Genomic DNA, 24066 nt, shown 5'->3' with positions numbered 1-24066 from the left:
ATCTCATACACCATGTTTTTACCAACTCCATCTTCCCCTAAAGGAAGGAGAAATGAGAAGGCCACTAGTCCTCATTCCTCATTATTTCTACCATCACAGCTGCAGAAGCTGTGGACAAAAACCAAGATTTCTAATAGATCTAAACCACTTATTATATTCAATATTTTTAAAACTTGAAATATTGGCAAAGCCCTAGACATGGTGCCAGCTTCTCCTGGACGTATCTAAATCCAGAAATGCCATCTTCTACTAAACCAAATTATGCCTGAAAACCAAGCATCTGTTTCACATGTTAGTTGTATTATCTTAATATCATTTCAATTTAGTATACTTAGGTGCCATGGATCACTTTGGAAATGATGAATCTTAGCAGTTATCAAATTTTTCTGACCACATTAAAATATAAGGCCATAAACTCAAATTTATCTTTTAAAAAAAACTTTTGAAAACCCCTAGATATTTTTACCATTGAATGCTTTCTCTCTCAGTCAATTTTTCTTTCTTTTTTTTTTAATAAACCTTCGCTGGGCACGGTGGCTCATGCCTGTAATCCTAGCACTGTGGGAGGCCGAGGCAGGAAGATCACTTGAGCCCAGGTGTTCCAGAGCAGCCTGGGCAACATGGCAAAACCCTGTCTCTAAAAATTATACAAAAAAATTTAGCCAGGCGTGGTAGTGCGTGCCTGTAGTCCCAGCTACTCAGGAGGCTGAGGCAGGAGGATCACCTGAACCCCAGGAGGTCAAGGTTGCAGTGAGCTGAGATCACGCCACTGAATTCCAGCCTGGGCGACAGTGAGATGCTGTCTCAAAAAATAAAATAATCCTTCTACTTTGTAATAATTTAAGATTTATAGAATGTTTCAAAGATAAGGCAGAGAGTTTTTATAACCACTCACCCAGTTTTTCCTGTTGTTGGCATCTTACAGTCCTAAGGTACATCTGTTCATGCTAACAAACCAGCACGTTACTATCAACTCAACTGAAGACTTTTCAATCAACTACTTTTGATTTTCTGCTTGATCCTTATAGAAAATAATTTTTCAGCAACTATTCTTATTAAAACTAAGTATAGCTAAATAGTTTGCACTCATCTCAGAAAGCTCCAAAATTCCACTGCTTCAAAGGGGAAAGATTTTGGACATGGTTAAAAAGTTATTCACTGTTAGATCAGGTGCAGTGGCTCATGCCTGTAATCCCAGCACTTTGGGTGGCTGAGGCGGGTGGATCACTTTAGGTCAGGAGTTTGAGACCAGCCTGGCCAACGTGGTGAAACCCCATCTCTACTAAAAATACAAAAATTAGCCAGGCGTGGTGGCTCGCACCTGTAGCCCCAGCTACTCGGGAGGCTGAGGCAGGAGAATCGCTTGCACCCGGGAGGCAGAGGTTGCAGTGAGCCGAGATCACACCATTGCACTCCAGCCTGGGTGACAGAGTGAGACTCTGTCTCAAAAAAAGAAAAAAAAAGTTATTCAAGGTTATTCACTGTTGAAAACTTGAAAATGGTACTTATCAGCAGCCAAGTTTTTCAAGGCAAAAACAATAAGGATGGTATTTCCATAACCACAGCACATCTAAAACGCTGCTATCTATGTGGCTTGCCTTGTTTTGTTGTCCTCTCTGTCTGATCCCTCCCACATAGAGTAGAACTCCTCTCAGCTCTGCCCACAATGCCTCCTCTGTATAAAGCCTCAGGAGGATCTACCTTCTGCTGGGAAACAGGCTGCTGACCCCATGTTCCTGTGGCTTAGAGGATCACTGAGCATCTGCCATCCTCACTGCTCCACTCTGAGCGTGTGCACAGATGAAATGAGATATGGCTTTACACCGAGTGAGCCTCCCGCCAGCTGGACTCCTCATGAGGCTTTCAGCTCAGTTCTAGCGAGAAAGCCCTGCTGTCTCTGCCCTTTGGGAGAGAGCTAATAGAAACGCCTAGAGAAATGTTAAGTATGGCCTCTTCAGATTGTGACTCTTCAGTTCCGTGTGCCAAACCATCTGGGCTGGAGGAGGCAGTGGATGCCCTCTGCTGACAGTCATCTTTCCTAATGTTACCCCAGAAAGCTTTGGGGCTGAGTGCCCAGGAAGACTGGGCTGCCATCTGCATTCCAGCACTCTCTGCCCCTGCAGTGTGTTTTTGTCTTCTCCAAATCAAATTGGCCATGTGGAGTCTGGAGTTTTCGTGTCCGCCCTACCTCTGCATGATTGCCACAATAGGTGGCGATGCCTTTGGTGAAATAATCCAATTAGAATATGTAAAAGTTGTTTTGTAATGGCCAAGGGCTCAAGGACTTATGGAGATACAGCATGCTCCTAAACGGAGGTATGATTTCCCAGGGTCTCAGTGACTCCATGGGGATGCTCAGTAACCTGCAGGGGATTCTATCCTTGTGGCTTGAAGATAAGTCTCCATTTGCCTTTTCGCAGGGTTGCTTTTTGTTTTTCTTTCTACCTGCTGAGTCCTTCCCTACTTGACACTCTGGAGGATCTGGCTGTGTAGCTGCCTACCCAAAGATGCAGGCAACTATATGGAGAGAATTCTGGAGGGTTTACAATGAGGCCGGAGGAAGCACAGAAGAAGCTGATGGGTGCATCCCCTGCTAGGGCCAGGCTTCAGACCTAACCAAGGCCCACTGTTGCAGTTTCCTGTCCCCTTTTGTCAGATAAAAAACCTGACCTACAGAATGAGGGGCATCTCTGAGGTCTCTCAGCTAATAAGTGTCGGGTCAGTCATTTCATCATCATCACCAACATCATCAATAACAACAGAGGCTGACAGTCAAAAAGGCTTATTATGTACTAGGCGTCATGCTAAATCTTTTGTATTTATTATTTTATTTAATCCTCTCAAGAGCCCTATGAATTAGTGACTGTGTTAATTCTATGTTTCAGATAAGGAAACTGAGGCACAGGACATCTAAAAGCCCTCAGCTAGTAAATGGGTGAACTGGGATTTGAATACAGCTTGGCTCTCGGGTTACTCTTCTAACCCCTGTACTCTGACTTTATGTCTAAAGCTGCTGAGTACTAACTATTCTCTCTCCTGAAGAAAACATTTTATAATAATTTCTTGTATTTATAGCATATTACTAGTCATGGTTTTTTTTCTCCCCCCCAGAATTTATTGAAAATCTCTGTTCCCAAGCTGCTGGGGTAGATATTATCTAGTCATACTTTCTCTAGGAAATGAATTCAATTAGTGTGAGTCACCTTATATATTAAATGTTTTGATAAGTTCACAGTTTGAAGACTGACACTTCCCTTTACCTTTTATGATTCCAAGAGCTTCTGAGAGATAAATCATGTGATCACATTCGACATAATGGTCTAAAGCCAGGTACTCCTCGTGGGGTGCTGAATCATTGATGAAGTTCAGCCACTGCATCCCAGCAGGGCCTCTGGACAGCTGCACCTCCATTCCCCTATTCACACAGGACACTCACCTTTGGAACCTTTTAATTAGTGTGGATGAGTTATTTTCAAAAAAAGAAAGAGGGTACGGATCAAGAGAGGTACAAACTTATTTTAGTTTCTACCCACAAACTAGAATAGCGTTATGTTCTGGGAAAGCTTTGAGATCACTATGGATGTTGGGAGTGGAAGTTAATGGAAGGGAATATAAATCTGTACCAAATGCTCTATTTTTTAAAAAAGTCTTGAGCTGGGTGTGGTGGCTCATTCCTGTAATCCCAGCACTTTGGGCGGATCCCTTGAGACCAGGAGTTGAAGACCAGCCTGGGCAACATAGCAAGACCCCATCTCTATAGGAAATTAAACAAAATGTATTAGACGTGATGACTTGTGTTTATAGGCTCAGCTACTCGAGAGGCTGAGGTGGGAGGATCTCTTCAGTCCAGGAGTCTTCAAGGCTGCAGCAAGCCATGGTGGTGCCACTGCATTGCAGCCCAGGTGACAGAGTGAGACATTGTCTGTAAAAAAAGTCTTTAACTTCATGGCTTATTAATTCTACAAACTTGGAGCAAATTTAATAATAGAATAATATTACCTCTATTTTACATGGAGAATATACATATAGTTCTACACTGAATATAGTTCTACAATGGAGTTCTAATGTAATCCTGGGGCAGAATGCTCGATAGATAAGTAAAAATCCAAAATATTATTGCAAAATTTACCCTGTCTTTGGTTTACTTCTTTACTGCTGTTCTACATTTTTAATTTTTAGGACTACTTTTATACTTCTCTTTTGCTTATAATACCTCTTGGGGTAGAAAAACATATAATTGTGACTTCAACAATGTTTATATATATATAATTATTATGAGCTATTTCTACAACCATTGTTAATATACATCTGTCATTATCTCTGAGTCACTGAGTTAACTAGCTACATAATTTATTTCCCATTATAGTTAGCTAAAATATATTACCTAGATATATTTTCAGAGTATATTCAGTAATGAGACTAGAAATTAGAAATGATTTGTTCTGGAAGCTCATCTATTAAAGGGCATTCTGGCCTTTAACTAAATCTTACACATCTTTCTCTTCCCATTTTCTGCAATGGACATAGCTCCCAAAAAGGGAGAAAATATTCTTTCATGTATTTAACTACAGAATATACCTGAGTGTGAATTCTAACTTTACTGTTTATTAGCTCTATGAACCATTCATATTTTTTACACTCAATTATACTATCAGCAAATAGAAGATAATAATAGATTAACAATAGCTAATAATGTTTTGAGACAATCAAGTGAGAGTGTATGAAAAGCACTTATCTGAGTTCCTGGCACTTAGACATTAAATAATTACTTCCCTCCCTTATGTATGAAAGGTGACTGCCCAAATGATGCTTGGAGCGCCTCTGCCCTCTGGCTTAGCAGCTGAGTGATAAGATAATCGACCATAGATTTCTTAGGAATGACCTTATCCCTCCTTCCGAGATGATTAGAAAACATTGAATTTTCTGCTGATTTGTGTGAAGCCACATGGTAAGACATTGCTAATTATGATTTTTACCCACGCAGGTCAGAAGTTACGTCAAGAGAGCTCTTGCTGAAGGTGCCCAAATTTGGTGCGGTGAGGGAGTGGATAAGTTGAGCCTCCCTGCCAGGAACCAGGCAGGCTACTTTATGCTTCCCACGGTGATAACAGACATTAAGGATGAATCCTGCTGCATGACGGAAGAGATATTTGGTCCAGTGACGTGTGTCGTCCCCTTTGATAGTGAAGAGGAGGTGATTGAAAGAGCCAACAACGTTAAGTATGGGCTGGCGGCTACCGTGTGGTCCAGCAATGTGGGGCGCGTCCACCGGGTGGCTAAGAAGCTGCAGTCTGGCTTGGTCTGGACCAACTGCTGGCTCATCAGGGAGCTGAACCTTCCTTTCGGGGGGATGAAGAGTTCTGGAATAGGTAGAGAGGGAGCCAAGGACTCTTACGACTTCTTCACTGAGATCAAAACCATCACCGTTAAACACTGATCTTTGCTAATGGTGGAGCCACTATGGCCAATGCCTGGCTGCAGGCATCAGTTGTTCAATGTGGTAGATGAAAATCATGGCATGAATTCCAGCTATGCCTTGACTTGGCAGAAGGTTATCTCTAGCTTATCCTCAGTTCTTAGTAACTTTACCCACTAGTGAAGAGATACTGTCTATTTTCAATGTGGACTCGGAAAAAAAGACTTATAAGTAGGAAGATAGAACAATGATGCCAGTTGTCAGGCTCCTCCCAGGTTATGTTTTCATAGTGTTTCTTTCATCATCTTCATTGAACTCTTGGGAATCTCCAGATAATCAGATTATTTCATTTGGTAAATTTTAAAAAATATGCAATCAGGCACAGTGCCTCATGCCTATAATCCCAGCACTTTGGGAGGCCAAGGTGGGTGGATCACTTGAGTTCAGGAGTTCGAGATCAGCCTAGGCAACATGGTGAAATCCTGTCTTTACCAAAAGTTTAAAAATTAGCTTGGTGTGGTGCCCTCTGCCTATAGCCCCAGCTACTTGGGAGGCTGAGGTGGGAGGATCGCTTGAGCCCAGGCGGTTGAGGCTGCAGTGAGCCATGATCATTCCACTGCATTTCAGCCTGGGGGATACAGTGAGACCTTGTCTTTAAAAAAAAAATGCTGCAAAACCAAAAATAAATAGCCATAATTTGCCATCTTTGGAGAGATTATGGAGATAATCTCCTTGTCTATTAGCCACTAGCATGGCTAATTGATCATTGATTGGACCTCATTACATAAGGGGGCTGTGGACGTCTTTGGAATTTGTTAGGGGAAGGCTATGTGGTAAGCTCTACTAAATGTATCTGTACAAGGATGAAGAAAAACAAAATAACTACTACTTTTGGAGGAAACTTGGAACAAGAAGAGTACATAGTTTGATCCATTCCTACGGTCGAGTCTAATCAATTCCATTTCTTAGTGTATGCATCTAATGAGGCTTACAACTTGCTAACCCCAAAAGAAGCAATAAATGTTAAGCAATTTTAGTAACCAGTATGGCATGTATCTTATTTTTGAATGCATTCCTCCTTATCCCCATCCTCTTAGGAATATGGACGTTTTACTAAGTAATAAAGATTTCAAATGCTTTTTTTTTTTTTTTGGATCCCCAAATGATCACAGGAGAAAACTGAGGTTTACAGAGCTCGAGCAACATACCCGAGGTCACACACATGATATGGGTAGAGGCAGGGTTTGAACCCAGGACTTTCAGGCTCCAAAACCCATGATCTCTCACCCCCTTCCACTTGCCTTAGCTGGTGCTCAGGAAGCAGTGAAGTACCTGTGGTTCCTGGCACACATGGTGTTTCGTCTCCCCTCCAAGTCTCCTTCTTGTTTTGCCTCCTCCATCCTCTCTCCTACCCACCTCCACTTCAAGGCCCTTCCTCAGTGGCCGAGCAACTCAGGAACACCTCCAGCACGGGCCTTCCTACACTGATGGGAGTGATCTGTTTGCATGTCTGTCTCCATAACTGGACAGGAGTGTCCAAAGCCGAGGCTGCTGGTACTGCACTCTGAAGAGTCTCAATTCATAGCATAGTGCCTGGCATACAGAAGGTGCTCAAAGCAAGTTCTGGGAAGGGAACAAAGTCTTCCTGGTGCTCTGGGGTATTTGTTCCATGGTTTGTGTGTGTGTGGTTGAGGGTGATGAGAGGGGAAGACCAAGCTTTACAATTTTGCTTAGGATTTCAGATATATTGGCTTGCTTGCAACTGCTGAGAAATAAAAGCCAGCCCCTTTCAGATCAAGTGATGTTGTTGGATTATACCTGGCTCTAGATTCTACCTTCCTTTCTCCTTTCCTCGCCTCTTCTGTTCCTCAGCTGAGTCCCCTTGACCTTAATCACTTTAGTGAAGAACCAATTTGAACATCAGCAGGAGGAATTTCAGCAACTCCAGTCTCTAGGAATTTGCATCTTCACTCTCGTAAATGGGCTGGCTGAAGCCATCCTTATTCCTGAGACCCAAGCCATATCTTGATTCCAAATTCTAGCAACTGACTCCTTGCTCCCGGTGCCTGGACAGCCACCTTCCACCAGCTTGTCTTTGCCCAGGAGACTGTTCTCTCCAGGGCTCAGAGTCAGCCCTGCTCTTGTTTGTTCCTGTCTCGGCCCTGGGTCCTGCCTGCGGAGGGGCCTGCTTCCAGCTGACAGACATCCTGGATGCCATTTCCCTACTTCTGGGTCTTTTGGATCTCTAAAACTCCTCCTGGGCTCATAAGGCAGCCTCATTAATGCCCATTTGAACAAATGCTTTTCCTCCAGCCAACACTATTCCATCTCTCAGTTGTTATAACATTGTCTGAATCTTAGCAGTGGAGCTAGAACTTTCCTAGTTTTGTTCCACCCGCTTCAAGTGAGTGAGTATGGATCCGAGACTGAACTCCTCCCAGGCCATCCATGCAGTCTCAGGTCCCCACAGCAGCTGAGGCACCACTCCATTCTGTGCCTACACTGCAGCAGAGTCCCATAGGACTGGTGTATCCTGGCTTGGGGCTTCCACACCCCTGCCATACTGTGCTCAGAACTAACAATAGAGAGAATTGGGGTGAGGGTGTCCACAAGGGCTTTATTTTTTAAGCCAGTTGATGGGCACATAAGTGTTCACTATATTATTTCATAAGGCAGAATTATTTATATACCAAAAAAGGAAAGTGGATCATATTGAAGGGACAGCCAGGAACAGGCTGAGAGGAGAAGCTGAGAAAAGATGGGAGAGACACCTCCTGGCAGAGCCCAGAGGTCCCAAGCTTGAGGCTCAAGGATGGACAGCAGCTGAAGAGTAGTGCTTCTTAGACTCGGAAGTGCTCCTGAAACACCAGGGACTCTGTTAAAATACAGATTTGGATTCAGTAGTTCTGCGGTGGGACCTGAGATTGCACTTGGAGTGTCGAAGAATTAGAAGACACTGATTAGAAGACAGGTGCCTCCTCTCCTCTTCCTAGGTTTCAGGAGAAGCTGGCTACATTTGCTCCCTGCTGGAGACACTAGAGTAGAAGAACTTCCCAGGAATGCCTCTAATGGAGCTCCAGGCACAAAGCCTGAGATAGCTCAGGACCTTCCGTGCAATGCTGGGGAGGAGGAAGGGAAAGGCAGCCCCATCTTGGAGTGAGATGCACTGCCAAATTTCACCACCCAAGGCAAAGTCCTCCTCCCTGGTAGTTAATGAGGGTGCAAGATGAACTCTCCACACGTCTTAAAAAGAAGCTTCTTTTCTTCAGAAAATGGGGATTTAGTCCCCCATTCAGCAATGGGTCTTATGGGTAAACTGTTTTTCCAAATTGCAAAAAATAACTTTGTCAATTACCCATGCCAATCAACATATCATTTTTTTTTGTCCTTTTTTTTTTTTTTTGAGTCAGACTCTTGCTCTGTCACTCAGGCTGGAGTGCAGTGGCACAATCTTGGCTCACTGCAATCTCCACCTCTTGGCTTAAAGCCATTCTTGAGCCTCAGCCTCCTGGGTATCTGGGATTACGGGCAACCGCCATCACGTCTGGCTAATTATTGTATTTTTAGTAGAGACGGGGTTTCCCCATGTTGGCCAGGCTGATCTCAGACTCCTGACCTCAAATGAGCCATCTGCCTCGGTTTCCCAAAGTGTTGGGATTACAGGCATGAGCCACCGCGCCCAGTCAACAATACCGTTTTTATTAAAAAAATTACTGGCCAGGCGCAGTGGCTCATGCCTTTAATCCCAGCACTTTGGGAGGCTGAGGTGGGTGGATCACCTGAGGTCAGGAGTTTGAGACCAGCCTGGCCAACACAGTGAAACCCCATCTCTACTAAAAATACAAAAAATTAGCTGGGTGTGGTGGCATACGCCCAGCTAATTGGGAGGCCAAGGCAGGAGAATTGCGAGACTCTGTCCCCCGCAAAAAAAAAAAAAAATTACCAAGCAACCAAGGATTATTAAATTTTCGGTAAAAGAAAAATATCAAGATGTGTGAAAGAGCAACTTACTGTGGTAGAAACAGATAAAAGAAGGAGCGGAGACACTAAAAAGTTGAATGAGTCCCCTCAGAAAGATGTGAGGGGATAGCGCATTTATAAATAAGAACAGGCTTCTATGAAAAAGGAGCAAGCAAACAACATAAAAGAGGTCTTGAGAAATTAAACACTGATTCTCCAATTAAATTTTTAAAATTTATAGAATTGAGTCATTGATATGGCTGAAAACAAATTAGTAGTCTGGAAGATAAAGTTGAGAAAATAGCTCAGGATGTAGAGAATGACAGAAAAGGAAAAATATAAGAGAGTTGGTGAGATGCAGGATAGATCCAGAGAGCTATTAATATGTAACTAATTCAAAATGTAAAAACAAAGACAAAAATATGGAATCAGCCTAAATGTCCATTAACCAACAAGCGGATAAAGAAAATGTATGTATGTGTGTATATATGTATGTGTGTGTATGTATATATATTATATATGTGTATATATACATATACCATGGAATACTACTCAGCCATAAAAAGGAATGAAATAACAGCATTTGCAGCAACCTGGATGGAGTTGGAGACCATTATTCTAAGTGAAGTAACTCAGGAATGGAAAACCAAACATCATTATGTTCTCACTTACAAGTGGGAGCTAAGCTATGCTATGAGGACACAAAGGCAGAAGAATGATATAACGGACTCTGAGTTCCCTGGCGGGCAGGGTGGGCGGGGCATAGGGATGAAAGACGTTGGGTACAGTGTCCACTGCTCGGGTGATGGGCGCCCCAAAATCTCACAAATCACCACTAAAGAACGTATCCATGTAACCAAACACCACCTGTTCCCCCAAATGTATTGAAAAAAAAAAAAAAAGACAAAAAGGGGGAAAAAATCAAATAAATAGAAAAAGAAAATTTCTCTGAACCAAAGACACTCTTTTTAGATGGAAAATACCATGTTTCAAGAAATACTCTGTTGAAAATTTGAAATTCCTAGTGTAGGCTGGGTGCAGTGGCTCACACCTGTAATCCCAGCACTTTGGGAGGCCAAGGCAGGAGGATATCTTGCGGCAAGAAGTTCGAGACCAGCCTGGCCAATGTAGTGAGACCCTGTCTCAAAATATCAAAAATAAAAATAAAAATTCCTAGTGTAAAGCTTACAGAGTGAATCAACAGGATACCTACCACAAAAAAGCATATAAGATTATCATCACTATTTTCATTAGTAACATTGATGCTAAAAGACAGAGGAGCAAAACTTCAAAGTTCTCAAGGAAAATTATTTTGAACCTAAATTTATAGGCAGCCAAACTCTTATTCACGAATGAAGGCACAATAAGATATTTAATGACTCGAAAAGTTTCTCCCTATCTCGAAGGTTTCATCCTTTCTGGTATGACTTGGGGATGTAATGCAGCAAAAAGAAACAAGAATTCAAATAAATAGAAGAACTGCCTGAAAAATGAAATGAAAATTAATTTTAAGTTGTTAGATATTTAAAAAGAGGCCTAGAAAGCTGTTGGCTCAAGTTAGGACAGGGAAGACAGGACGTGGTGATTGAAGAACATCTTTAAAAAGAACATGGATTTAAAAATAAGGTTTAATAATCTGGAAGATCTTAGATATGTAAAAAAGCTAAAGGGGAACAGAATATCCCATCCCAATATATGCTACTTTGATACATTGATTGTTTTGAGCTGAGGGTAATTGAGAAAAAGCAGACACAGGAAAAGCTATTTTCCCCCTGTTTGCCTAAAAGGAGGGCATAACATTCCCTTATGATAGTTTTCTCTCTTGTACCAGGAGAGAAAGAGTAACCTTTATTTCTGGAGATGGAGATGGTGCCGAGATGTCTGCATAAACAAATCTCACTAAATAACTTTTACCTTCATTGGATTTTCCCCCAGATTTTTACCTTTCTACAATTTACTGGCCCTAAAAACCCAAACTCCCTCTTCTTTGTTAGTCATTTCTCAACAATCTTTCACCTTTGGTTAAAATGGCACTTATGGCCCCAAGACTAGCCACTTATTTGGGTTTTTACTTCTTTTCTATGGAGCTCCCATGCACATAAAATTTAAAATAAAATTCGTATGCCTTTTTCGCCTGTCAATTTGACTTTTGCCAGTTTAATTCACAAGGCCCAACTGAAGAGGGTAGAGGAAAATTTTCCTCTTCTACATAAATAAGATAAAAAACGTGTTCATCTACTTTGTGTTTGTCAAGCATGGATCAAATTCAAAACTTTACATTTGCCATGATTCTAGAACTAGCACAGAAATAATTTTTTTTTAAAAAGGAGAAAAAGATGGCTTCAGAGTTTTTAGGAGCAAAAATTAGAGGTTGTGGATGACATGATTAAGTACTGGCCCCAGGGTGTTCTCTCCTCATTAAATGGTCTGATCATCCTACTAGAAGGCTTCATTTTATAAGAGAAGAATTCATTGCTTTAATAAGTTTAATCCAAAACACTTGAGTCAGTAAATTCCTGATTTAAAATTCCTACAAAATATTACTCCATACTCCCAAGTTGACTTTTTTCTTGTTAGATTGATTTATTAGTACCTACTCTCCCTCCTAAGTTTTCAACTACAAAGTATTGTTTTCTCTTTTGAAGCCCAAGCACATACTTTGGAGAACATTATAGAAATGCTGTGATTCACCCTATGAGTTATAACCACAGTCTCTCAATCACATGATGGAGAGTAGAGCCCTGGAGAGGCTATTCAAGGGGTTACGTGTAATGAACTCTCTAAATACAATTCACTTGAACAGTGGGCTGGGCCAGGCCACACCTGTCTGGGTGGTGGTCAGAGGGCTGTGGCTCCATTCCCCACTGGTTGGGCCACAATCCTTGCCAAGCAATAGGCACCTATTAGCAGATTTTACACTGTCTGATGAGCCAGGGTACATGGCTTCCATATTCTCACTTATGGGATGTGTGGTTGCTACTCAGAAATCAATAAAATCTAAAATAATTATAATTTGGTTTCTGCCTTATTGTAAACAAATGTGTCATTTCTCCAGACATGGGACAATTACTGTAGTGATTTTGATTTTTATTACATTCAGTGCAGCAGATTTTTGTGGAGTCTCTATGCTGTCATTGCAAGATCATGGCATTGATCTTGAATCTATAGGGATAAAATAAGTCCTGGCATACATCTAATATGAAAAATAATCTCTACCTTCAAGGAGTTTGCACTCTATGGAGAATGGAAGAGTGTTGGAATGCATTTTCAGAGCACTGCATGTGAAGCAGAGAGATAATGCTTATGTATATTTAGAACTACATAAATAATAAAGAAAAGAAAAAGAAAAAATGGAACTGGGATGCCTTAAAATTCTTCAGAACATGGAAATGAAATGTTGCTTTCTGGCTGGCTAACCTCTAAGGCAATCAAAATAGAATATAATTAGCTATCTATTGCTGCCAGGGCTTAAACCATTTTTCCAAATTGTGTTTGCCAAGACAAAAGGAGGTATTTTCTGTAGTACAGGAGAGGTGAATGAGAGGATGAGTGGGTTGAACAGTCCTGAGTAATTATTGCATTTATTTAGGTTTCTGCAGCTATCTATCAGGCCCTTGGCTTATGATAGCAAATGATAATGAACAGTCAAAAGGCAGAAATAGCAACATTCACCCTATCATGACACAGGGACATTATATTCTTTTTATACACAATACAGTGCAAAGGTTCAGGGAGAGCGAGAAGTATGACCTGAAGCCATTTTTCCACTACTCATCATTTTTGACAGTTACAAGAAATCCAGAGAAGGGATTTTCTTGTCTAATTATTTCTAACCTTAAAGTTCAGGGAGTCAGTCTTTCTCAAGATTAGGATTCACTAAATACATCCTGAGGAAAGGGTGCAGTACATGTTCTGCGAATACTGTCCAGGAGCTGTGAACTCTCTCCCTTTATTTAGGATATCAGAGGAAGGGGCAGGAGAGGGGAGGAGAGTTCAGTCATCTCAGCTTGAAGCAAGTGCTCGGTAAGCACTTTGGTATCGCTCCCAAGGGGGACTGTATCACTTCCATCCCAATGACTGAACTCGACCTGAATGCAGACCGCTGAGTCCAAGTCCCAAGTCTCAGGACCCCAGGAGTTACTAGAAAGAAACGCTCAGAGCTGCTTTCTGGTAGATTATTAGTGGGAGAATACATTTCCCCTAAGATACCTAAAATCAATGCAAAGAGGACCTCAGAAGTATGTATTTTGCTGAACTTGAAACATCAGAGAAATTGTTCAAAAATCCCCTGAAGAGATAAATATGCTGATATTCAAATTTTTACCTATCTTGATGATTCTCACATGCTTTGATTTCTCAAGGATGTTGCATGAAAATCATTTTTCCTCTATTAGAAATTCATGAGCGCCTGCTGCTTACTTCCCAGCGGCAGTCCTTGGGACCTGGTATGTGGGCACTTTAAAAAGATGCTTCAGGAGAGCATTTTATGCTCTGTGCAGGGACCTGCTCCTGCAGGCAATTGGCACGTGTAGTCACAGAGCCCGAAGCTCTGGGGCTGTCACATAAATTGCACAGAGTCAGAGGCTGCTCCCCACACAGCAGCCCAACCACCCCAGATGGCCCCACTCTACCTTCAGTCCCCCAGGGAAGGGGTTTCCACCCTCTCCCGCCATTCACTATGTCTGAGCTTGAAATATTAAAATAGAGTACTTGTTTCACATATAACTCCAATTCCAACAGCTGTAATTAAGAACACATAGAGGCCAGCTGCTTATTATATGTAGGCAGGAGCTCCAAAATACTTAATCAGAATTTGCAATTAGTTGTCATTATCCTCAGAATACCTCTACTTCTTTGATGCTTGTATATTTCTATAGGTTCTGTATATTCTGCATTCTAGTTCTGTTTAGGAGTTGTTTGCTGTAAGATCCTTGGCAAGCCAATAAGCTTCTCCATGCCTCAGTTGTCCATCTGGCAGTGGGGAGAGAGCTACACAGGGTGATTTCAACAACCCTGGCAATTAACCTTGTTATGATTCAGTGACTCCATGAATCCCTAATATTCCGGGAGTATTTTTCAAGGCTTTGTTGGAAATTGTTGAGTCACACTGGAATGAACTGCCATTATGAGATGAGGTTGGAATGTTCTGATCGCTCCAAGGGTAAGACTGGACTGAGGAATGTGGAGGAGGGCTGCGACGAGGTGTGGGATGGGAAAGTCATCATCAGATGCGTGGAGCTGGCATATCCTAGGCCAACAGACAAGATTAGGCAGATTCCCAGCACCTGATGAATGGCCAGCTGCAATCAGAATTACGATTCTTCCCCGAAGAGCAAGCAGCCTATGATTTGTTTGGCAGAAGCCTCAGAGTCGTGATGATGATGATTTGCACCGGCCTTTGGGTGAGTCAGCGCTGACACGAGGCACCGACAAGCTTGGCAGCAGAGACTGACAGTGACTGTTCTGGACTGTTACACACATTTCAGAAGGCTTGCTGTAGATACCCAGGAACAAAATATCTTCCCCACACTACAAACTGAAACCCTCATGAACAAAGCCTGAAGTGAGAGGCTTGGCCCTGGGACATCTCAGGGGTGAATCCACCCTATATTAATGGAGTCATAGTCAGCTGCAGGCACCCCCAAGCAAAGGACGCTGGAAATTCCCAGAAGATAAGCAGATCTGAAGCAAGGACCAAGGGCTTTGAAACTTTCTTTTCTTTTCTTTCCTTCCTTCCTTTGTTTTTTTCAAGACGGAGTTTTGCTCTTGTCACCCAGGCTGGAGTGCAATGGTGCCATCTCAACTCACTGCAACCACCACCTCCCAGGTTCAAGCAATTCTCCTGCCTCAGCCTCTCACGTAGGTGGGATTACAGGCATGCACCACCGCGCCTGGCTAATTTTTGTATTTTTAGTAGAGACAAGGTTTCACCACTTTGGCCAGGCTGGTCTCGAACTCCTGACCTCAGGTGATCTGCCCGCCTCGGCCTCCCAAAGTGCTGGGATCATAGGTGTGAGCCACCGCGCCTGGCTGAAATTGTCTTTCAAAAGTCTGAGCTCAGTGGCTTATGGGAATATCTAACATGGATGGCCTGAAGGCAGGTGAATCATCCTAGACCAGCCCCCGGCACTCCCTGTGCCAGGCAGAAGGGAAAGAGTAGCGCAGTGGGAAGTTGGTTCCCAGGGGGTCTGCCTCTCCAGGTCTTCCTGCTGAACAGCCGGCAGCACTTCGGGCACGAGAGGACATTGTCCTCCTTTGACCTCACCTGGAGCAGGCTTTCCAGGTTGTCTCTGGGGAAGGTGTTTATTATTATTATAATAAAAAATATTTTATATTATATAAAAATATATATATTTTTATATATAAAATATATATAAATATAAAATATATATTTATATATAAAAAAATATATATAAAATATATATTTATATATAAAAAAATATATATAAAATATATATTTATATATAAAAATATATATAAATATAAAATATATATTTATATATAAAAATATATATAAATATAAAATATATATTTATATATAAAAATATATATAAATATAAAATATATATATATATAAATATATATAAATATAAAATATATATATATATAAAAATATATATAAATATAAAATATATATTTAGATATAAAAATATATATAAATATAAAATATATATTTAGATATAAAAATATATATAAATATAAAATATATATTTATATATAAAAATATATATAAATATAAAATATATATTTATATATAAAAATATATATAAATATAAAATATATATTTATATATAAAAATATATATAAATATAAAATATATATTTATATATAAAAATATATATAAATATAAAATATATATTTATATATAAAAATATATATAAATATAAAATATATATTTATATATAAAAATATATATAAATATAAAATATATATTTATATATAAAAATATATATAAATATAAAATATATATTTATATATAAAAATATATATAAATATAAAATATATATTTATATATAAAAATATATATAAATATAAAATATATATTTATAAACATATATTAAGATATTTAATGGTTGCATGGATAACTTTAATATGTATAAATTTTAATCTGTTGATTTATCGAGTTTTGACATTATCTACCTTCTCCCTGTTCTGTAAGATGAGGAAAGTAGATGGTGACCACCATCCCAGGCCTCCATCCTTTCCCCTCTCAACTGGCCCGCTGATTAATTTCATTATCTAGGCTAGTAACTTCTGCACTCTGTTCTGTAATTTTAAGTTGGCTTTCTGTACTTTGTGTATAGCTTGACTTTAAATAAAAAAGGCTAAAAACCAATAAGAGACATTCCTAATATTAAGATAATATACAGCCTGGGCGTGGTAGCTCATGCTTTTACTCCCAGCACTTTGGGAGGCTGAGGTGGGAAGATTGCTTGAGGCCAGTTCAAGACCATTCTGGGCAACATGGTGAGACCTCATCTCTACAAAAAATAAACAAAATTAGCCAGGTGTGGTGGGATGCACCTGTAGTCCCAACTCCTTGGGAGGCTGAGGTGGGAGGATTGCTGGAGCCCAGGGGGTCGAGGCTGCAGTGAGCTGTGATGGTGCCACTGCACTCTAGCCTGGGTGACAAAGTAAGACCCTGTCTCAAACAAAAGATAACATAAATATTAATTGCAGAATCAAATAGTATGTAAGATCCATAAAGATGGAAAGGTAATTTAATGTTGCCAAAAATATCCACCCAAAAAGGTGAAAAAATGGATTCCTTTTACTTTTACCCTTCTATTTATTCAAGTCATATCACATTTCAGTTTGCTCTTCTTATAACTTCTGAATAGCTTTTTCTTTCTGTTTCCTTTAATGGATAGAATAGACATATACCTTGGAAGGGAGGGAAAAAAGCTTTCCTCTATCCCCCTAAGTTTTGTGTCTGGGACCTGCAAATTAGACTGACAAAAGACAGATTAACAGAAAACAAAAGACATACAGGCCGCGCACAGTGGCTCATGCCTGTAATCCCAGCACTTTGGGAGGCCAAGGCGGGTGGATCACTTGAGGCCAGGAGTTTGAGACCAGCCTGGCCAACATAGTAAAACCCCATATCTACTAAAAATACAAAAGTTAGCCAGGCATGGTAGTACACGGCTGTAATCCCAGCTTCTTGGGAGGCTGAGGTATGAGACTTGCTTGAGTCGGGGAGGTGGAGGTTGCAGTGAGCTGAGAAAACGCCACTGCACTCCAACTTGGGCAACAGAGCAAGACTTTGTCTCAAAAAAAAAAAAAAATACCAATTTTATTCAATATTTACATGCACAAAGGTTTTCATAGAAAAGAAGATCCAAAGAAATGGTTAAATTTGGGGGGCTTTATACTATTGTGTCCGGAATTGGTGGGTTCTCGGTCTCACTGACTTCAAGAATGAAGCCGCAGACCCTCGCGGTGAGTGTTACAGCTCTTAAGGTGGCGCCTCTGGAGTTTGTCCCTTCTGATGTTCAGATGTGTTCAGAGTTTCTTCCTTCTGATGGGTTCGTGGTCTCGCTGGCTCAGGAGTGAAGCTGCAGACCTTGGCGGTGAGTGTTAACAGCTCTTAAGGAGGCGCGTCTGGAGTTGTTCGGTCCTCCCTGTGGGCTCGTGGTCTTGCTGGCTCATGAGTGAAGCTGCAGACCTTCGTGGTGAGTGTTACAGCTCATAAAAGCAGCATGGACCCAAAGAGTGAGCAGTAGCAAGACTCACTGCAAACAGCAAAAGAACAAAGGTTCCACACCGTGGAAGGAGACTCGAGTGGGTTGCCCATGCTGGCTCGGGCAGCCTGCTTTTATTCTCTTGTCTGGCCCCACCCACATCCTGCTGATTGGTAGAGCCCAGTGGCCTGTTTTGACAGGGCGCTGATTGGTGCATTTACAATCCCTGAGCTAGATACAAAGGTTCTCCACGTCCCCATCAGATTAGTTAGATACAGAGTATGGACACACAGGTTCTCCAAGGCCCCACCAGAGCAGCTAGATACAGAGTGTCGATCGGTGCACTCACAAACCCTGAGCTAGACACAGGGTGCTGATTGGCGTGTTTACAAACCTTGAGCTAGATACAGAGTGCTGATTGGTGTATTTACAATCCCTGAGCTTGACATAAAGGTTCTCTAAGGCCCCACCAGAGCAGCTAGATACAGAGTGTGGATTGGTGCACTCACAAACCCTGAGCTAGACACAGGGTGCTGATTGGCGTGTTTACAATCCCTGAGCTAGACATAAAGGTTCTCCACGTCCCCACCAGACTCAGGAGCCCAGCTGGCTTCACCCAGTGGATCCCGCACCAGGGCTGCAGGTGGAGCTGCCTGCCAGTCCTGAGCCATGCGCTCGCACTCCTCAGCCCTTGGGCGGTCGATGGGACTGGGCGCCGTGGAGCAGGGGGCGGCGCTCGTCGGGGAGGCTCGGGCTGCACAGGAACCCACGGAGGCGGGGGAAGGCTCAGGCATGGCGGGCTGCAGTCCCGAGGCCCGCCCCGCGGGAAGGCAGCTAAGGCCCGGCGAGAAATCGAGCGCAGCGCCGGCGGGCTGGCACTGCTGGGGGACCCAGTACACCCTCCGCAGCCGCTGGCCTGGGTGCTAAGTTCCTCATTGCCCGGGGCCAGCAGGGCCGGTCGGCTGCTCCGAGTGCGGGGCCCGCCAAGCCCACGCCCACCCGGAACTCCAGCTGGCCCGCAAGCGCCGCACGCAGCCCCGGTTCCTGCTCGCGCCTCTCCCTCCACACCTCCCCGCAAGCTGAGGGAGTGGGCTCCGGCCTTGGCCAGTCCAGAAAGGGGCTCCCACAGTGCAGCGGTGGGCTGAAGGGCTCCTCAAGTGCCACCAAAGTGGGAGCCCAGGCAGAGGAGGCACCGAGAGCGAGTGAGGACTGTGAGGACTGCCAACACGCTGTCACCTCTCACTATCTTAACAAAAGGTAATAAATCATGAGGAAGTGATAAGAGGAGGAGTGTGGGCATCTAGGGGTGGTAAATTTGCTTACCAAAGTTGAGGAGGTAGGGGCTGGTCATTTAAGGAACATTAAACTCTCTCTATGGAACCAGGTGGAGGGCCTACAGGAATAAGTGTCTGTTGTGGTGTGCTTGTGTGGACACTTAATCTGAGTGTGGGGATTTGGGAAGCCTCCTTACCTTCCCTCATTTTGTATTCTTCTCCTCCTCTTCCATTTTCTTCTCCTCCTTCTCCTTATTTTTATTTTTTGGTATGTTTTACATTGTAACTTTATTTATCTACAGATCTCTGGGTTTTTAAAAATATCTGCACCAGGCCGGGCGCGGTGGCTCACGCCTGTAATCCCAGCACTTTGGGAGGCCGAGGCGGGTGGATCACAAGGTCAGGAGATCGAGACCATCCTGGGTAACACGGTGAAACCCCGTCTCTACTAAAAATACAAAAAATTAGCCGGGCGTGGTGGCGGGCGCCTGTGGTCCCAGCTACTCGGGAGGCTGAGGCAGGAGAATGACTTGAACCCGGGAGACGGAGCTTGCAGTGAGCCAAGATGGCGCCACTGCACTCCAGCCTGGGTGAGAGCGCAAGACTCCGTCTCAAAAAAAGAAAAAAAGAATATCTGCACCATCGAACATTTTTCACCCTCCTCCCTCTGTCTCACCCAAGGGTATTTCTTTGATACCGTCGGAACAGCCTGTACCCAGAGCTTGGATCACGGACTCCTCAGCAATCTGTACATGCGTTTGTGTCACTGAGTACTGCTAAATAAGATGAAGTGTTAAGATTATAGGGATCTGTATTAGGTTACAGATCCCGAGACATCATGTGAGGTGGTATGACGACTAATGTTCCCTGGCACATTTTCCTAGCTTGGCCTTTCTGCAACCGGTGCAGTTTTCAAGGAAATGGCTGAGTGGTTTTGTTCTGGTTGAGTGGCAGGGAATGGGGACATGTTGGGAGACACCCATCTTATCTTCTTTTCAAATTGTGCCGAAGATCAGAAACAGGACAAAAAAAAGTCCAGCCCGGCTGGTTGTTACTGTTGACATGGCATGTGAGCTAACTCATGCTGAAATGCCCTCCTAGGTACAGTGATTGCTAAGATAGCTGGGCAAATATAGGCTCCTTTTCAGCTAAGTGTTTCCTTATATGGGGCTGCTCAATACTGAAAAGAATTGATGTTTTTTACTTTTCTACTGCCTTGAGTGCCCTGGTGTGGGAAAGCCCTGGGCTGGGAGCATGATGCTGCTGAGAGTTGAGCAGAGAAACTCGGTGGCTCTCTGCAGCCTGTCCCCGCAGAAATCCTGGCTGATTTCAGGGAGGGGAAGTGGGTGAGATCTCTTTGTATATCCTGACCTAATCATCATAGCCCTTGGCCCCTCGGTCTATGGCTCATGGTCTCTGTCCCTCTGTAGACAGTATGAGTTTCATCAGGCTGAAGATGGCTGATCAAAATAGCATTCTGCAATGAAGCCAAGGAAATACACTGAGTACAATGACACTCCTTTATTTTCAGTACAATGAAAATAAAATCCTTCTCTAATCATGAATTATTTTTGACATCTGAATCTGAGCTCACAAATCCCAGTTTGCAGAGCTAGTTTTATTTACTTGGATGGAGTGTGAAAGAGTCCTAGACCAGAGGTTTAGGAGAGGTGGCTCTGCTGTGTTTCAGGCTGGGGCCTGGTGGTGCGACTGGGCTATGGCCTGGTTAGTTGTAGGAGACTAGTAAGGGGGCAGGACCCTGCATCTGATGTTCCCAAAGGACTGAGGCAAGTGCTGAAGGGCAGGATCCCCAGCAGAGTTCTGACAGGAATTGAGAGCATGACTATGGCAATGACCACGAGGCGGGGTGGTTGCTGCAAGCAGGGGGAAGCAGAAAGGCACCTCCTGTCCTAACAGGGCCAGGGCATTACAGTGGGAAGCAGAAGAGGTTCCCAAATTCTGGCAAGCAGAGTGCGGCATCAGGAAATCTGGTTTTAGACAGCAGGGCTCTGCTGGAATTCAGGGGTGGGACTCTGATTCCCAGCAGGGAGATAGGAAAAAAGCCAGGCAGAACCCCAGTGCTAGACAGTGATGGGAGCACCGGCAGGGTTATCCAGACAGGGAGTTTTTACTACGTTTTCAGGGAACTTAGAGAGTCTTATCTTAGTGACCTATTATCAGAACTGAGGCACCGTGTCAGGGATAAGCTAGTTACCACATCAACTTGAACCTGGAGTCCTTGAATCGCTCCTTTCTCAGCCCAGGAAGGCTCAGCTGGGCTGAACCTAGAGGTGAAGGCCAAGTGGATGATGTGTGTGCAGAGGAAGCGAAAGAGGTGGGGCAAAAATGAGCTACAGATGCTGGGACCTTGCCTAAACCTGATAATTCTTGGTCTAACAGGGCTGTTGTGAGTTCAACATTAGGTATGGCATATTAAAGCAATTTCAGAAAGAAAATTCATGTGAAAACTCAGGTCACATAAGAATGGAGGTTTTTCCATAGAAATTTTATAAGACAGAGGTGCTAGGGTGTCTTCAAGCATAGAACTTTTGCCTTGGCTGTCTGTTTTTCTGCAAAAGCCCTTTCTTCCTCCTCTAGGCCTCTGTAACCCCTGCTTAGTCTACTGGTCTTTTATTATTATTATTATTTAGAGATGGGGTCTTGCCATGTTGCTCAGGCTGGTCTTGAACTTCTGGGGTCAAGCAATTCACTGGCCTTGGCCTCCCAAAGTGCTGGGATTACAGATGTGACCCACTGCACCCAGCCATACTAAGCTTTAAAAACTCATTTCAGGCCGGGCGCCGTGGCTCATGCCTGTAATCCCAGCACTTGGGGAGGCTGAGGCGGGTGGATCACCTGAGGTTGGGAGTTTGAGACCAGCCTTACCAATAAGGAGAAACCCTGTCTCTACGAAAAATACAAAATTAGCTGGGTGTGGTGGTGCATGCCTGTAACCCCAGCTACTAGGGAGGCTGAGGCAGGAGAATTGCTTGAACCAGGGGTTGTGGGGGGCAGAGGTTGTGGTGAGCCGAGATCACGCTATTGTACTCCAGCCTGGGCAACAAGAGCGAAACTCCTTCTCAAAGCAAAACAACACAAAAAACCTAATTTCAGTAACCCTTTTCTGGGGAAGCCTTTTCTGCATCCCTGACCAGGTGGCATCCTGCTGCAAAGTTCTCAGCTAGCTGAGTTGGAATTTTACATATTTTTGCCCTATCATTTAATTACTACCGACCTCTCCCACTGAAAGGCACATTTCCTGAGGATAGAGGGCATGTCTGTCCTTTTGTTGCTGTGTCCATAGACTTAGCCCAGTGCCTGGTATATTTTAAGTGTTCAGTTAATATTTGTTGACTGATTGAATGAATATTTTGAGGGAAATAGAATTCTTTTTTTGTAGGAGAAAGCAGGAGCATTACTGATCGTATTTGGTATTGTAGAACACTTAGGGAAATAGACCTAGAAACGCATTTCAAAGATCTGAGGAGACCAGACTGGAAGGAATTGTAAAGCCTGGAAATACTGATAGCTATGTCCTTATATCTTTGGCCCAGATTTGACATAAAAATAAGCAAAGGTGAATCTAAATAGGTTTTTAAAGGAAATTCGAGTTCATCTACAGGACAAATAGAGGATACCACAGTTCTATCCTGTTTTCCCCTCTCCTTACCCCCTACATTCTGCATTCTGCATCTTGTCCCCACAAATCTATGTAAGTTGATACAAAAATAAACACTGGATGCATTCTTTTTTTTTTTTTTTTTTTTTTTTTTTTGAGGAGTCTCGCTCTGTTGCCCAGACTGGAGTGCAGTGGTGCGATCTCGGTTCACTGCAACCTCTACCTCCTGGGTTCAAGTGATTTTCCTGCCTCAGCCTCCCGAGTAGCTGGGATTACAGGTGGCCACCATCACGCCCAGCTAATTTTTGTATTTTTAGTAGAGACAGGGTTTGCCATGTTGGCTAGGGTGGTCTCAAACTCCTGACCTCAAGCGATCCTCCCATCTCGGCCTCCCAAAGTGCTGGGATTACAGGCTTGAGACACTGCACCCGGCCTAGATGCATTCTTTAAGGAGGAAATAAGTCATGCCCATAGCTAGAATGGAGGCTGTAGAGTGGGGTACCCCTTATTTAGTTTTGATGAATGTGAGAATTCTTTGGTTTCCAGCAGCAGAATCTAACATTGGCCATGGTGTAAATTGCATAATCCAAGGGAAGGGTGGAAAGCCAGGCTTGGAAGTGAATTAGAATGGGAACATCTCTATGTAGCCAAAACTACGATTCAGCCTTGCCTGGGTAGAGCTGTGTATATATTTTCTAAAAGCCTATTTCATTTTTATTCTATTTATCAGTTTGCTTGGGTTTCAGGTTCTAAGAGAAAGCAGCTGTTTGAGTTGTTTTCCGCCCAGAAAATCTTAATACTTCCACCAGACTTTACCCAATGGGGAAGATAATTTCTTAAAAAAAAAAAAAAAAAAAAAAAAAAAAAGTTCGCCAGGCGCAGTGGCTCACGCCTGTAATCCCAGCACTTTGGGAGGCCAAGGCGGGAGGATCACGAGGTCAGGAGGTTGAGACCATCCTGGCTAACATGGTGAAACCCCGTCTTTACTAAAAATACAAAAAAATTAGCCGGGCGTAGTGGCAGGCGCCTGTAGTCCCAGCTACTCAGGAGGCTGAGGCAGGAGAATGGCGTGAACCCAGGAGGTGGAGCTTGTAGTGAGCCGAGATCACGCCA

General features: G+C 43.1%; 1 protein-coding gene across 3 annotated transcripts in view, besides 1 other annotated feature; it reads left to right on the top strand.

Annotated features, from left to right (window-relative positions):
* Positions 1-6459, top strand: part of ALDH8A1 (aldehyde dehydrogenase 8 family member A1) — a 32709-nt gene extending 26250 nt beyond the window's left edge. For all 3 annotated transcript variants that reach the window (NM_001193480.2, NM_170771.3, NM_022568.4), the window contains one exon: positions 4985-6459. In NM_001193480.2, the coding sequence (NP_001180409.1) occupies positions 4985-5437 (453 nt within the window). In that variant the 3' untranslated portion in view covers positions 5438-6459. The remainder of the gene's footprint in view (positions 1-4984) is intronic.
* Positions 18308-18807: an enhancer, noted in NCBI's record as "H3K4me1 hESC enhancer chr6:135226183-135226682 (GRCh37/hg19 assembly coordinates)". NCBI's record gives its function as "activates a minimal SCP1, AML or CMV promoter by ChIP-STARR-seq in naive H9 embryonic stem cells {active_cell/tissue: H9 hESC(naive)}" and the evidence as "EXISTENCE:reporter gene assay evidence [ECO:0000049][PMID:30033119]".

Source organism: Homo sapiens, chromosome 6, assembly GCF_000001405.40.
Source record: "Homo sapiens chromosome 6, GRCh38.p14 Primary Assembly".
NCBI lineage: Eukaryota > Metazoa > Chordata > Mammalia > Primates > Hominidae > Homo > Homo sapiens.
This window is presented reverse-complemented; position numbering and strand designations above follow the sequence as displayed.